Here is a 16,387-nt window from a genome sequence, read left to right as displayed (position 1 = left end):
CTATATTGAATAGCTCAAACAACAGTATATATAACATATCTCAAAAATATATGTGGTCAGTTAAAATAGATAAAAATTATTAATCATTTGGAATAATCAAACCCAAAATACCTAAAAGAATTTCAGAGTGTATAAAGTTTATCACTTCAAGAGTGGTAGTTGGAAAGTTTAAAAGGTACATTAAACCATATTGGAGGGCTGTTTAACAGTTTCTTAAAAAATTAAACATATATTTAACTTGTCACCATGTTACTCCATTTTTAGATATTTACCTGAAAAAGAAATTAAAACATATGTTCATAAAAAAGCTTGTTTAAGAATATCTATGTCAGCCTTTTTCATAATGGCCAAAAACTACAAATATTCAAATGCTTATCAACAGAAGAATGTACAAACACATTGTGATTTCTTTATACCTGTAGAGAGAAATCTGTATAGACTATTCTACAGCACCATATAGACTATTATACAGCTCTAAAAAGGAACAGACTACTGGTACATCTACCATTATGGATGAATCTCAGAAACATTGAGTGGGGAAAGGGACAGCCAAACACAAAGGAGTACAATCTGTGATTCTATTCATCTGAAGGAACAAGCAAAACCAAGATATGACGATAGAATTCAGGACAGTAGTTGTCTCTGTGGAAGGGGGACGGTGAGAAAGGGAATTGACTGGAAAGAGGTTTAAGGGAACTTTCTGGGGTGATAAAAATAAGGTCTTATTTTGAGTAGTGGTTAAATGGATGTATGCAATTGTCAAAACTCATAGAAACACTTAATATATCTATGCTTTATTATATGTAAGTTATACCTCAATAGAGATGAGAGAGGATATATTAAAAAGGATAGGTATCCCCTTTAATACATGGAAAACACATATCATATTAGGAGTCAAAACTATCTGGAAGGAATACTTTTAGGTGCTTTTTCCAGTATTAAGACACTTTCAAGTACACTGAGGGCACTGTCTTCCTTTTCCCAAGACAGAAGCATATTTAGCCTGTATTTTCCTTCTGTGGAGAATTTGAAATGGTGTTTTTTTCTTTCCTTTATACTCAGCAAAGTTGCTATCCATCAAAATTCAACTGCGGTGTTAACAGTCCACTTTTTCTCATACCATCTTCCCTTTCCCACTACTTCGTGTCTGTCAGTGGTATCATTATTGAATTTCAGCTTGAAATTTTTAACTGTGGTTGTCGTTGACTTTTTCTTCTCTTTCTCAATCCATTTCGTCACCAAGGCCAGTTGTTTATTCACCCACGAAGACTGAGGATATTATCTTTAACCTAATAGTTTTAGCAGCCACTGATGATAATTGCCAAGATCCACTTTTTCATTAAAGAGTTACAAAATAGTGATTTCTCTAAGTCTCTCATTCCATCAGCATCTATAAGCTCTGACTTTACTATAGGGAAGAACTTTCCCTTGTCAACTATTTGACTACGTTTTTTTTTTTTTCTATTTTTTTTTTTCACTGTTCAAGGTTTATTGTGGGTTTTAGTTAGTATGACACTTGGATAGTTGGTTGCATTGTTTATATGTAGATCTCTTTACATAATATGGTAATGTACACTACTGATATATATAGTTCACAAAATAAGATCCTTTGGAACAATTATGCACCATACATGCAATATTGGATTTATATACTGGATCCAGGATGTGACTGATTGGGAAAAAATGTTGGACTAGACATGTTCAATGAAGGAGCCAGGAAGTTATTTATATAACACACGGTAAACATCCATCTGGCTCAAGGGCCAACTGCAGCATGTGCAGCATTGGCAGTGGTGCCTTAGAGGTGTCAGAACTATTTCACACAAACCAGTTTAGGACTACACAAGATTAGTACCATCCAGCCTACAGAATGGTACTACAAGTTATAGCTACCTACAGGATATAGTACCTACAGAATATACTGTAGGATTTTACAAACCATTCCTATTTCTAACCTTAGGAATTGATGTTTTTCCCAATCCATCTTAACATCACTGCTTTAATCACAGATCAGATAAAAAGGACAATATGCACAACCTCCAACTAAAATCCTATTGTAGCCTAGACAGTGAAATAGTATGACATCAGAAGACTTTAAAATTGCAGCTCTTTTTGTATCCCCCAAAGTGGATCTGCACTGTTCTTCAAATGGGCCCCTTCCTCAGGAGTCAGAGTCACCTTCACACGGTCTGAGATTCCATTCTCTCCCAAGATGCAAGGAATGCTAAGGAAGACATCATCCTTTATTCCACCAATCATGGTGGAAATTGGGTGCACCCGCCTAAGATTCTTCATTATACTTTCTGCCAAATCTGCCACAGAGAGTCCAATGGCCCAGGATGTGTAGCCTTTGAGTTTGATCACCTCGTAAGCACTCTCAACCACCTGCTTGTGAACCTCTTTCCACTGTTCCTTATCTATGTCAGTCCCTAAATCTGGGTGCAGAGTCTTGAGGGAGACACCAGTAACATTTGCTTTACTCCATACAGGCACACTAGAATCTCCATGTTCCCCAAGGACTCACCCATGACAGCTTAATGTGTGAACTCCCAGCCTTTCCCCCATTGGGTAACGGAATTGGGCTGAGTCCAGATTGCAACCACTTCCAATAACATGGTTTTTGGGAAAGCCATTATCTTCCAAGCCACTATAGGTCAAAGATATCCACTGGATTTGAAACAATAAGCAACTTGCAGTTCGGGCTGTATTTTACAACATTAGGAATGATGAATTTAAAGATGTTCACATTACACTGGACCAAATTAAGATGGCTTTCTCCCTCTTGCGATGTGCCTCAGCCGTGATAGTGACCAGCTTGGAGTTTACAGTTACAGTATAGTCTTTGCCAGAGACAATCTTTGGTGTTCTAAGGAAAAGGCTGCCATGGTGGAGATCCATCATCTCGCCCTTCAATTTGTCTTCCATGACATCAACAAGAGCAAGTTCGCCTGCCAAGTCCTTCATTAAGATACCGATGGCACAGGCCATGCCAAGAGCACCAACCCCAACAACTGTAATCTTATTCTGGAGGATCTGTTCTTCCTTTAGAAGACTGTGAATAAGCTGATCCTTGAGCGTATACTTGAGAGTATATTGGACTTGGAAACAAAAGGAATCGAGAATGCACGTCCGGCGGGTGTTGGGGCACGCGGCAGTGAGATCCAGACTCGTCGGCAGCGGCTCCAGCACCTTCGCTACCTTTAAATACAGTCAGTCAAGGAAAAGCAGGATAAATGCTGTTTCCTTCCCTGTTTATTAATTTTTGGAATGATGAATTCATGCCCCTAGTAGCCTCTAATTCTTGTATTTGTTTTTATTTTTGGAGTGTCATTAGGAGCTCAGGTATTTTAAAATAAATGTTATGTGTTTTAGTCTATTGCAGTCATTATTCAGTTTGATATTAAAATTAACACCTCTGTAGATTCAAGTTGTTGTGTCGACATGGCCTTTTTCATTTTAACAAGTTAATATGATTAAACTTCCTTGTTTTCTGGCACAGAAGAATGTCCCAGGCCCACCTTATGCAATTCCTTCCCCAAACCTAGAACCTAACTTCCCTCCCAAGAAGACCTTATATCCTTTTAAGGAGATGATAGTATTTAGAGACTACAAATCTAAGGACTAGGTATGTTTATTTCTCCTGGGTTGTCATTTCTTCTCAGCCTTTTTTAGTGGACAAAGCTAGGAAATAAGTATTTTTTTAGAAAGACAAGTCATGAGTTTATACTTTCACTTTTTCTTGGATTCTTTTATTTGTATTTCTTACTAATGTTGATATCTTGGTTCCTAACATTAACATAATCACTTATTTGCCTTGTCTTTCTACATATATAACATTTTCAAAATAAGATGATCAACATGATCACTAATAACAATCCTGCTGAGTGCAGTTGAAGATGTCTTTGTGGTTCTTTTTTTCTTAGCATACTATTATGGTTATACAGTGAAAATACTGTATTATAAAAGCACTTAAAATAGTTTTCTTTATTTGGTCAGGCTGCCAACTTCAACCAATTAGATAGGTAGGTAGGCTTTTTTTTCCAGTTTGTTTTATAGTTTTTTGGGATTCCTTTGGGTTTTTGTTTGTTTGCTTAATTTTGTTTTTAATCATGTGAAATGTCTACATGGTTCTAAAAGCAACGTTGTGAAACAGCACATTCAGAGAGGTTCTAGCTTTTATCCCTTTCCGCTCCTCTTATTTTTTCCCTCTCTGTGTAGGTAACTGACTTTTTTTTTCTGTTGAAGATACAAGCAAATCTATGTATACATGTATTTACACATGTAAATATTCTGTCCCCTACTTCATAACACAAAGAAAGATAGCAAAGTATACACACTCTTCTGCACCTTACTTTCTTCACTTAGTATATCCTAGAGATCATTATTACATAGTAGTACAGAGTGATCTTCTTTATGCCTTTTCACAGCTGCATACATTTAATTTGTATTTCATTTGGAATGTGCCTGGATTTTTTAAGCCCCAGACTTCTTTGCCATTACAACTTGATTCTGATTAACTCTCCAGCCTGCTGACCCTCTTCTTTTCAAGATAATCATATCTTTGTGTCTTGCAACCTCTTCACATCCTGTTTATTTTTACAGTCATGCTGTTTTATTCATATTGTCCACCAGCACAGAACACCTCTCTCTCCTTTGTCTATCTATATCCTCATTCTATCCATTCATTTGGCCATGACCCAGATCACTCTATACCTTCTTTAAAACCTTTCTCCCTTTCTGTAGTCTACTCAGAACTCTTCCTTCTTAGAACCTTCTTTGAAAAGAAATATTTTACATATTTTAGCACTTTATTATTTTCTAAGGATTCATGTTTAACAGATTCAATTCCTTAAATCAGTTTTTTAAGGGCTGAAAATAAGAGTTTTTTGTTATCTATTCCCAGTGACACCTTTTATAGTCCCTGAAATGATCATCAGTAAGTGATCAGAGGGTATTAAAATGAGATATTAGAAACAACTTAAGCGTTTAAGAAAATCATGTGTTTCCTTTGATATTCACAATGAATAAAAACATTTCTGATAGTTTTTCAAGATAATTTTTGAATGTCATTGAATACCAAACTGAAATATTTTTAAAGTTATATCAAGATCATTACCTTTAAGACACACTTAGGAAAGTCTTTTAGTCATGTACCGTTTTTATTTATTTGCCAACTCTTTAGGCCTTTTACTCACAGAGCTTCTGTTCATTTTTCTCTTTTGGTCAGGTAGCAGCTGTCTCTGACTAATTTAAAATGTTGCATTAAAATGAGCTGTACTATTTTCACCATTGCATATGTTCATCTTTTGCTTTTGGGAAATGACACGATGTGATTCAGCATGTTAATTTAAATATCACCCAAAATGTAATCATTTCCAGATCCATTTGCTGACATTTAATACTATTCACAGTTTAAAATGTCATAAAACTAAATACAGTGATATTTGTGTCAATGCTGATTTTTAAAGTAAAATATATATGTTTAACTTGTTGGCAACATTATTGTCTAAATAATACATACTGTACACAGTAGAATCAGGTGTAATATCTACAGCATGTAAGGGCCACTTAAAAAACCGTGAATGAACGTTTGGTTTAGGTCTGTGCTGCAAAGGCCAATTGTCATTATCTTAAGTAACACTGTGAATTTTGGTTTTAGGGCCTGTTAATAAAAGATTGGCTAAAACAACTCTGCCATGGATACATACATAGAATTGTCTGCGTGGGGTTTGCGAGTTTTTCACCTTTTGTTCTAGGGAGTAGTGAATGCTTACAAACTAAAGATAGGTTTTAGTTCCAGAAATTTCACCAAAGGAAGAAGAGTCAGTAAGTTTTAAGGTCTAAAGGAAGCTTTCCCTTCTAGTTCAGTTTTTCTGTGAGAAAAACTAAAAATTATCTTCCTTTATCCCAGTTTCTTTCCTGTATTCCTTTAGCAAGTCCTTTCCAAAATTCTTTCCCCAAAAGCTAGCTGGCTAGTTTGCTTGCTTTTTAAAATATATTTTATATGAAAAAATTTCAAACATACAGAGACTAGAAAGAATAGCGTAATAAATACCATGGAACCATCACCTAGATTTAACAGTTGTTACTATTTTTATTATATTGACATCATTTCTTCTTTTTCTGAACTATTTTAACATATATATAGAAATTATGATATTTTACCTCTAAATTCTTTTTTTTAAATGTTTTCCTATGTAACATAACATTATTACATCTAACAAAATTAGCATTAATCCTCTGTCATCAAATACTCAGTGCATAATCAGATTTCTGTACTTATCCTCAGAATGTCTTTTGTAGGTGCTTTATTTAAATCAGATGCAACCAAATAAATCTAGCAATATAATTTAATTACTACTAAGTAATTTAAATGTAAGAATTAAAATTCTAAATGACTAAAAAATTATTACTTTTTTTAAAGCATGGAGCCAAGTTAGTTTTGTATTTGTCAGAGTTGATACATAATCACCAAGGTGAATTGACTGAAGAAGAGCTAGGCACAGCAGAACTGCTTATGAATGCTTTGAAGTTATGTGGTCACAAGTGCATCCCTCCCAGTGCATCAACAAAAGCAGACCTTATTAAAATGATCAAAGAGGTGAGTCAATGAAACCATAGTACTTTCTTAGGAGATTCCATCATAGATAAAGAATGATTGACACTACTTTTTTAAGAACAGGCTATCATTGATGATGAACTTGAAATGATTATTTTATTTTATTTTTCCTATATACTATATTGCTTTTGTCTATGTGAGAAAAAATAGGCTTATTTTAAGGAGCATTTTGTTCTCTGTGGTCATCAGTATCCATTATCAGTAGCCTTCAGTGAAGGAAAGATTTTTAAAGTGACAAGCAAGCTGAAGCATACCTTGAGTTAGAGGTTCTTTAATGAAAAAGCAGAGTAAGGAGGCAAGCAACTATGTAAACTCATCAGGTTTAGCAACCCTGGTTAACCATTCTACTCTAACTTATGTGACCTAAATTATATAGACACAGAATTATAACATTATAACATTGTTTAGATGGTTCATTTATTTTAATATTCTGGTCTCCTAGGGACAATTGTTTTTCCTTTGTTAACTGGGTTTTAAAATTAGTTTGTTGGGCTCTGTGACAATGTTAGGTGAGAAATAATAAATTTTATATAGTATATTATTATCTAAATCTTCTAGGAACAAAAGAAATATGAAACTGAAGAAGGAGTGAATAAAGCTGCTTGGCAGAAAACAGTTAACAATAATCAACAAAGGTAAGATTTTATATGTTCCAAAGGCATGTATTTTAGGAATCCATTAGATTTCACATATACTTTTAGTTTTAAAGTATCATGTTCTGATAAATACGTTCCATGTATGCTTAACTATGGACAATCTTATTATTTGTTTAGTCTCTTTCAGCGTCTGGATTCAAAATCAAAGGATATATCTAAAATAGCTGCAGATATCACCCAGGCAGTGTCTCTCTCCCAAGGAAATGAGAGAAAAAAGGTGATCCAGCATATTAGAGGAATGTATAAAGTAGATTTGAGTGCCAGCAGACATTGGCAGGAACTTATTCAGCAGCTGACACATGATAGGTAAGCTGCGGGAGGTCAGTTAAAATTGTCTTCCATGAAGATTTAAGATATTGATGTTAAACGGAATTTGTATTCCGGAATTCAGACTCATAAAATCATTTCATTAAACAATTTTTTGTTTAATCATTTGTGATGTTTTTTTCATCTTAAAGAATAATCATATGAGTTTTTTTTAATTCTTGAGGAAGAAAAGTAATGAGGGGGGCAGTAGCTCATCTAGATAGTAAAATTAGCTTAATTTTAAAATATGGTCTGTAAAAGAATAGAGAAATCACTGAAACAGGATGGTTGAGAAAAATATATTTTTCTAACTAATTTAAAATATGTATTACAAATAACAAAAAGCGGGAAATCAAGGTATTATTCTCTAAATTTAGTTAAGATAACTTATTCATGTGACTTTGGTGTACTAAAATACACTAAACATTAGACACTAAAGTAAATTCCATATGGATAAAAGAATTACTCGAAAAGTTTATAAAGTAGAAGATAATAGGATATTTGTCAACTCTTTGAAGGATAGATGACTTTCTAAGCTCAAATGCAATAGAAGAAACTGCAAATAAATCAATGGATTTTAACCTTAATTTTTTCCAGTGTATTTAACAACCATAACAAGAACAAAAAAGCCTGGAAATATATTTTCAGCAAATAAAGTTATTTTTATTGTTTGAAAAACTTACACAGATTCTAAAGTAAAATATTATGATCCCAGAAGTTTGAATGAGCAAAAGGCATGAACACATTCCTCACATAAGACAAATGAATTACCAAACACACGGGAAAATATTCAATATTGCTAGAGGCTAATTTGGTTTTCTAGAACCTCTAGATACCACATTTTACTTTTTATGTTAACAAAAATTTTGGCTGCTAATATTCACCGCAGGATATTAGCTGTCCTTACTCAGAACTTTGGTGGCATTGTACATTTTGACAATATGTATTAATCATCCTAAAAACATTTTACTTCTAGCTTCAGTTATCCTATTTTAGTGATTCTATCCTAAGGAAAATATTCGAAATATGGAAGGCAGGCCAGGCACAGTGGCTCACACCTGTAGTCTAGTACTTTGGGAGGCTGAGGCGGGAGGATCACTTGAGCCCAGGAGTTCAAGGCTACAGTGAGCTATGAACATGCCACTGCACTCTGGCCTGGGCAACAGAATGAGACCCTGTCAAAAAAGAAAAAGAAAAAGAAAGTAAACATAAAAGTTTTCATCTCTGCATTATTTATGCTAGTGAATGAATTAGAAACAAGTTATAAACCGTAATATGGTTAAATACATTACAATGCATCTACCTCTTTATTGGGCAGCCATTCAAAATGATGAGATAAAGATAATACTGTTTCAGTAAAATAAGGCAAGTTATAGAAAAATGATCATAATGATCATAACTACAAATTAAAAACAGATGCACGTTTTAAAAAAAAAAGACAACAACCGCTACCAGTATTTTGGTATGTTTAGGGTATGAATAAGGGTATTTTTTTCTCTTATTTATTTCTAAAAATGTACTTAATATGTTTTTCCTGTCTTATTTCATCTAAGATAAAATTTATTTTAAAATCTTTTTAAAAATGTGATTCATACCACAGAAAGAAATTGATTTTATTTGTTTCATTAGAGAGTAGGCAAAATGAGGCCAGGTGAGGGCGCTCACGCCTGTAATCCCAACACTTTGGGAGGCCCAGGTGGGTGGATCACTTGAGGCTAGGAGTTTGAGACAAGCCTGGCCGACATGATGAAACCCCATCTCTACTAAAAAAATACAAAAATTAGCCAGGTGTGGTGGGAGCCTGTAATCCCAGCTACTTGGGAGGCTGAGGCAGGAGAATCGCTTGAGCCCGGGAGGCAGAAATTACAGTGAGCCAAGATCACGCCACTGCACTCCAGCCTGGGCGACACAGCCAGACTCTGTCTCAAAAAAAAAAAAAAAAAAAATGCAAAATGGGAAATGTAAAAAATTAATTTGGAAAAAAAATTTACCTAACCATATTAAATCCAGCATGTTGTATTATGTTGCTAAAGTGTTCATAGTAGTCATTACATATCTTTTAAAAAATTTAATAGTTGAAAGAAACTGGAAGCAGAGCTTGCCTTCAGGCGAGGAACTGGGAGACTGGGATTCAGGAGCAAAAAGACACTTAGATTTTATTACTTCTACTTGTATATGCATTCCCTGATCAAATATATAAACATTTGGAGTTTTTAAATTAACAGATCAGTTGTGACTTACTTACTCAATCTCTATAATGATTTTTTTTATAGCTACAAGTCCTGGATGGTCACTTAAAACACCCTTTAATCTTTTTACTTGCAGAGCAGTATGGTATGACCCCATCTACTATCCAACCTCATGGCAGTTGGATCCAACAGAAGGGCCAAATCGAGAGAGGAGACGTTTACAGAGATGTTATTTAACTATTCCAAATAAGTATCTCCTTAGGGATAGACAGAAATCAGAAGGTAATAGTGGCTTCTTGACTCAACATATAAATATAGCAGAGAACTATGGTCATTAGATAAAGATAATATTTACTTTTCTCCTCAACAGATGTTGTCAAACCACCACTCTCTTACCTGTTTGAAGACAAAACTCATTCTTCTTTCTCTTCTACTGTCAAAGACAAAGCTGCAAGTGAATCTATAAGGTAACTTTGAATCAATAGACCTTCACTCTTTCATGAATATACAACAGCTTATTGTAGTGTTTATGTAATATTTATTTTATATAATGCCATCATTTTCAGAAAAATCCTAAACAGGAAAGGCTCAAGGGAGGACAAGGTTATATGGCCAAAATCCAAAAGGAAATGACATTTCTGACAGCAAGAGTTCATGGGATTTCAGTCATCATGTTCTGGCCCTTGTTAGTTTACATATACACACACACACACACACACACACACACACACACACACACACACACATATAAATATGTATATATATACACATATATGGGTACATATATATATACCCATATATATGTATACACACACATATTTTGTAATTGACTGTTTAACATCTCTATCTATTAATATAGATAGAGCTGCTGGTGGTATCATCAAGCAGCAATATAACGTAGTGATTAAAGGTTTAGATTCCAGTTCCTGCTCTTACTAGCTCTTTAATCTTAGGCAAGTTACCTAACCTCTCTGTCTCAGTTACCTCATCTATTAAATGAAGAAATAATAATAGGTATCATAGCGTTGTTGAGTATTAAGTATGTTATTATATATTAACTATTGATAGTATTATCATTGCAGTTATTGTGGTTGTTATTATACCCATTTCATAGATGAAAAACTGAGACACAAAGAAGATAATTGGCTAAGAACACAAAGGAACTTTCTGATTCCAAATCCTCTGTTTTTCCTAGAATACTAGGCTTTTTTAAAAATGTATTTGATAAATTACCTTCATAATAATGTAAATAATACAATAATAGTATATAACAAATAAATAATACAAAATAATAATACAAAAATAAATAGAGCACACACAAAAAATGTATCTGAAGTATCAGAGGCATGAAACAATGTTTGCTTATTTATTAGAAAATATAAAATATTGATATCTCTTTTAAATAACTTAATTTCTATATTCTGTCTACAGGTTATAGGGATTATTAGCCTTTTCTAGGCGTTTCAGTCATTTCTCTTCTAATAGAATGCTAAAAAGGAGCTAATATTTTCATGTGGGTTTCGACAAGATACCTCATGCTATTGGAACTCTATCTAGTCTGCTTTGCAGAAATCTTTTACTAGGTAAAATAAAGCATATCCTCTCTGAAATTGGTCAGAACATTTAGTCATAGTAATTTTAAATATGTTTTGACAGAGTGAATCGAAGATGCATCAGTGTTGCACCATCTAGAGAGACAGCTGGTGAATTGTTACTAGGTAAGTCAAATTTTGAAGAATTTTGCACATATTCACCCTGCCTTATTTGATTCTTAGATTATTTAAAGTGTTTTTTGACAGCATGCCATTAAATTGGATAAACTTTCTGTAGTATCATATAGGCTAATTTGCCTTAACATTATATGTAATTGCATATGAGTCATGAATGTGAAGAAATGATATCTTGTGTTCTGAAAAGCACATGAATAGCATTTTAGTTTTTATAAAATTGTTTCTTCATGATATGCAAATTTATATTTAACCATTTCTTTTATTATATGCCAATTTAGATTTTTTAAAGTGAAAAATTGTTGATATCTTACCTACTATTTTATCAGATATAACTGTCCATAAGAAATATGTCTATTTTAAGATTGTCCATAATTTATATTCTCTATTGTGCTTCTGAGAGAAAGGACAAGATTGTTAGTCCATAGATACCTATATAGTTATATTTGTTTGAAAATTTTATTCTCAAAATATGAAGGAAAACAATTATACCACTTGATCTCTATTCCCTTAAAGAATCAATCTGTATGCTGTAGGCTAGGTTCTCCAAGTGTGAGAACCCTGAATTAGTAGCATCAGCATCTCATGGGAGCTTCTTAGAATTGCACATTCTCACGCCTCAGTCCAGACTTGATGAATCTGAAATTCTGAGGGTGGGGCCCAGCAGTCTATGTTCTGATGAGCCCTCCAGTGATTTGATGTACCTTCAAATTCGAGAATGAATGTTGTAAGCTATAGCCTCCAAGGTCCAAGATATGGAGCTTCAAGCCTGCTGGGACTGAGCCCCACCGTCACAAGGATGGAGATAGTACCCTTCTCTGAGCTAGCCATGCCACTACTTCACTACTTCACTACTTCACTACTCGAGGGTGATGAGCATGCAGGGGGCGGAACCTCAGAGAAGTTCCCAACATTTTAAAACACGATGTAGGGACATGGGTTAGCAACAGCCAGCCTATGAAACAGGAAAAAGTTGGAGGCTATGTTTAGGGCCTACTCTACCCTATTGAGTGTCTCAGTCTGCAAAATAATTAAGGATTTCCCTTTGGCTAGATAATTTGGTTTACCACTTGACTTCAATTAGTGTGGAACAAAATAAAGCAAATCTATATGCTAGTAATGTAAGAATAATGGTAATAATAAATAGCCAACATTTATTTAGCACTGAGCACATATGCATTTTGCATATATTCTAATTTAATTTCCATAGTAGCTCTGTGAAATAGAGCTCCCTGCAACCTTTTTTTTTAATAAAGAAATTAAGACACAAAGAGGTAAAGCAACTTGCCCAAGACTTCATGGATACTATTCAAAAATATTTATTGAGTGCCAGGAACTGTGTCGAGGTAGTGAGATTCAAATTCAGACCAAAGGACTCCAGAGACCATGCATTAAACCATGAATGGTAGTGTGCACATACATTTTAAAACCCTTATATCCAATTACTTTCTGCAGGTAAATGTGGAATGTATTTTGTGGAAGATAATGCTTCTGATACAGTTGAAAGTTCGGTGAGTAGAGGCTTAAGTCTGTATTTACATAAATCTAGACAGATTCCAAAAATGTATCAATTCAGTATAACTAGAGAGAAGGAAGAACTATTAGAGTTCATTCTTTGTCACTCTATGTATAGATTGGTCTGAGTTCCAAACATTTTTTTAAATATAATTTTAAAAAGAAGACTGTACCATCTCCTCTGGCTTATGGCCCAAGTATCATAGCAGTTAATATAAGTCATATTCTAAATGCTCCTATTATATCAATTTATGTTCATTCCTTCTTATTACTGTCCTCCGTTGCAACAAATATCTATTCCTTGCCACTCCCAGTTCACTATCAAGTACCTTTGCCTTCAGAAAGAAAGGAAAAATATTAAATAATTGAATAACTTAAGTAATTCTGATATTCACATAGCTTAATAATGATAATTGTTATTATTCTAGACAGACTGATATTAATCAGAAAATAGACATATTTTTTGTATAATAAAGCTTTTTATTTGAATTATCTTTTATGCCATTAAAATATTTTTTGAGATTCCTGTAATAGGAGAAATAAGCTTTTTGTTTCAGAAAAGTTCTAAAGCCGGGAATTCCTAAGGATATACTAAATGAGATTATGTGTGGTTTAATTACTAATATATATTTTATTTTAAATAAATTAGGCTGGGTGCAGTGGCTCACGCCTGTAATCCCAGCACTTTGGGAAGCTGAGGTGAGTGGATCACCTGAGGTCAGGAGTTTGAGACCAGCCTGGCCAACATGGTGAAACCCTATCTCTACTAAAAATACAAAAAAATTAGCCAGTTGTGGTGGTGGCGCCTATAATCCCAGCTACTCGGGAGGCTGAGGCAGGCGAATCGCTTGAACCCAGGAGGCGGAGGTTACAGTGAGCCGAGATCACACCACTGCACTCCAGCCTGGGCAACAGAGCGAGACTCTGTCTCAAAAAAAAAAAAAAAAGAAAGAAAGAAAGTAGTGAGTGAAAACATGAAGTTTGGTTATAAAATAAATGTAAAAAAAAAGTCATGAAAGTATTTAAAGTAGTCAGAAATATGAACAGCATTCTTTTCTCATTTATATAGCAATTACCACAGGGTATGTCCCAGATAGTAAAATATAGTTATGTTATTTTTCAAGATGGATCCTTTTATCAGCCAAGGAATTTAATAGTTGATGTATGAGACAACTTTTTTGTATGTCCAAAAGATGACAGTTTTTCCCCTTAAAAATTCTACTCAATTTGTGTTTAACTCCATTTGACATGAGGTGACAGAAGAGTCTGAGTCCATCTGTCGAATATGTTGGTTTATTTTCAGTGCTTGAGGATACATTCACAAATACTTGGTCTGGGAAGACACCATTTAATTTTAAGTCAACTTGCATGCTATAAATGTGTTTTATATTTAAATAAAGAGGAAAATTTTTTTTTCAAATCTAAAAATGCCCTTGCTTCTCAATAGATTGAAAGATCCTTCTTTCCTATGTACTTTTGTAATGTTGGTTCTTCTTATATAACATTTGGTATCTTGCGTTGTGTGTGCAAATGTGTGTACAAATATTTCATGCCCCCTTTTTGACCCATACAGATGTATTTCATGCAGAGCACTTAGCAGAGTACCTTGCGCATAGATGTTAATTAATATATGTTGAATGAATGTTGAAACTAAACAAAGGAAGAATTCAGTTTTAAGTATGAAAATATTACATTTTCATTAAGACATTTTATTTTATTCATAATATATTCCCTGCCTCTACTTATAAAAATTATTTTGGACCAAGAACAATAGTAAAACACACATAGAGTAGGATAATCTGAATCTAAAAAAAAAAATTAAGGTTTTGGAAAGATAAAGAGCCTAGGATAAAATAGTTCTTGGCAATTGAGTCCTAAATTTGCTCTGAGCTTCCTGTTAGTCAACACAGAAGAGTAAGTAAATGCAATTTTTTTAAAAGGAAAAAAACTGATTTAAAAAAGAAAACTAGGATGCAGGTTGATTTGAGGAGATAAATTCTAGCTAGTTTTAAACTTTAGTAGAAACTTTTCATTATTTCTCTATTAAAAGCATTAAGTAGCATAATTTATGTATTCAGTTACAATTTACAAAAGATTAAGATGCATTTTTTTTAAGTTTTTCTTGATTTTGTACTTTGGGAGGGACCTAGTGATGGTAGGATGTGTAGGCCCTGTGGTCCCTACCTCTTCATTTCAGAATGTGGGGATTTGTCTGAGTACACTAGGATTAATACTCTCAAGCAGATTCAACCTTCCAGTGATTCTTTTCTCATCTTCTTTTCTTCTGTTGACCACCTAGCAGGGGAATGTATCTATTTGGTATGTGTTGATCTGTCAGCTTACATTTAGTGAGTGGGGCTTTATTTGCAGGAATGCCCCATTAGTTCCAGGAATGCTCCTCCAGAGACTCTGCTTTCCCTTTGCTGAATGACTCGGAAGCATGAGAACTGTTTCACAGCTCGGGCGTTTCCAGGCCATCCAGACATGGATTTAACCTAAATCTATATGATGGCAGGCCCACAGTTATGAATTCTCAGAGAGAGGCTTTTTTTCTATGCTCTAGGCTCCAGGCCAAAAGAGACAAGCTTGCTTCCTGGTTAATCCTCTTTATTTTTATTTTGTTATTTTTTATTTTTTTAAGACAGAGTCTCACTCTGTCACTGAGGCTGGAGTGCAGTGGCGTGATCTCGGCTCACCAAAACCTCCGCCTCCTGGGTTCAGGTGATTCTCCTGCCTCAGCCTCCCGAGTAGCTGGAACTACAGGTGCCTGCCATCACTCCCGACTAATTTTTGTATTTTTAGTAGAGATGGGGTTTCACCATGTTGGCCAAGCTGGTCTTGAACTCCTGACCTCAAGTGATCTGCCTGCCTCCGCCTCCCAAAGTGCTGGGATTACAGGCATGAGCCACCGCACCCGGCCTATTCCCCTTTATTGATGGGCACATTTGTTTGTCTAATCTTTCATTAGGAACAAATCCCTTCCTAGGTTTTAGCTTTCTGAAGCAATCTCAATTCCATACCCTGATTCTAGGGGCCCAGGGCCTCATCTTCTGTCCTCAAGTTGCTGTGAACCTACGTCAATTTGTTTCTGAAACTGGGGTATGTGCATACATGCATGCATATGCAGACACATACAACAGAGCAACCAGAGTATCACTCCCTGCTTAGTGCTGATTTTCCAGTTCCTCTACATTTTTGACTTCTGGGGATGTCATTTCCCTTGTTTTCTTGCAAGCTCAGCTATGTATTTAAAAGGATATTTGCTTAGTAAAAGAAGCCAACCTTAAAAGGCTATATACTGTATAATTCGAACTATATGACATTTTGGAAAAGGCAAAACTATAGAGACAGTAAACAAATTAGTGGTTGCCAGAG

The 16,387-nt window shown here is 34.6% G+C and overlaps 1 protein-coding gene and 1 pseudogene across 14 annotated transcripts in view; one reads left to right on the top strand and one right to left on the bottom strand.

Moving 5' to 3' along the window:
• Positions 1-16,387, top strand: part of LYST (lysosomal trafficking regulator) — a 222,683-nt gene that overhangs the window by 142,630 nt on the left and 63,666 nt on the right. For 10 of the 14 annotated variants that reach the window (XM_011544032.2, NM_001301365.1, XM_011544031.2 and 7 more), the window contains 7 exons: positions 6,425-6,601; positions 7,178-7,254; positions 7,393-7,581; positions 9,907-10,052; positions 10,141-10,237; positions 11,427-11,488; positions 12,953-13,008. In XM_011544032.2, the coding sequence (XP_011542334.1) occupies positions 6,425-6,601; positions 7,178-7,254; positions 7,393-7,581; positions 9,907-10,052; positions 10,141-10,237; positions 11,427-11,488; positions 12,953-13,008 (804 nt within the window). Of the gene's footprint in view, positions 1-422; positions 6,603-7,177; positions 7,255-7,392; positions 7,582-9,906; positions 10,053-10,140; positions 10,238-11,426; positions 11,489-12,952; positions 13,009-16,387 lie in introns of those variants that run through there. The other 4 variants (XM_047443040.1, XM_011544037.3, XM_047443046.1 and 1 more) reach the window with 3 other exon arrangements.
• Positions 1,475-3,189, bottom strand: LDHAP2 (lactate dehydrogenase A pseudogene 2; annotated as a pseudogene).

This window comes from Homo sapiens, chromosome 1 (genome assembly GCF_000001405.40).
Source record: "Homo sapiens chromosome 1, GRCh38.p14 Primary Assembly".
In the NCBI taxonomy this organism is placed as follows: Eukaryota; Metazoa; Chordata; class Mammalia; order Primates; family Hominidae; genus Homo; species Homo sapiens.
This window is presented reverse-complemented; position numbering and strand designations above follow the sequence as displayed.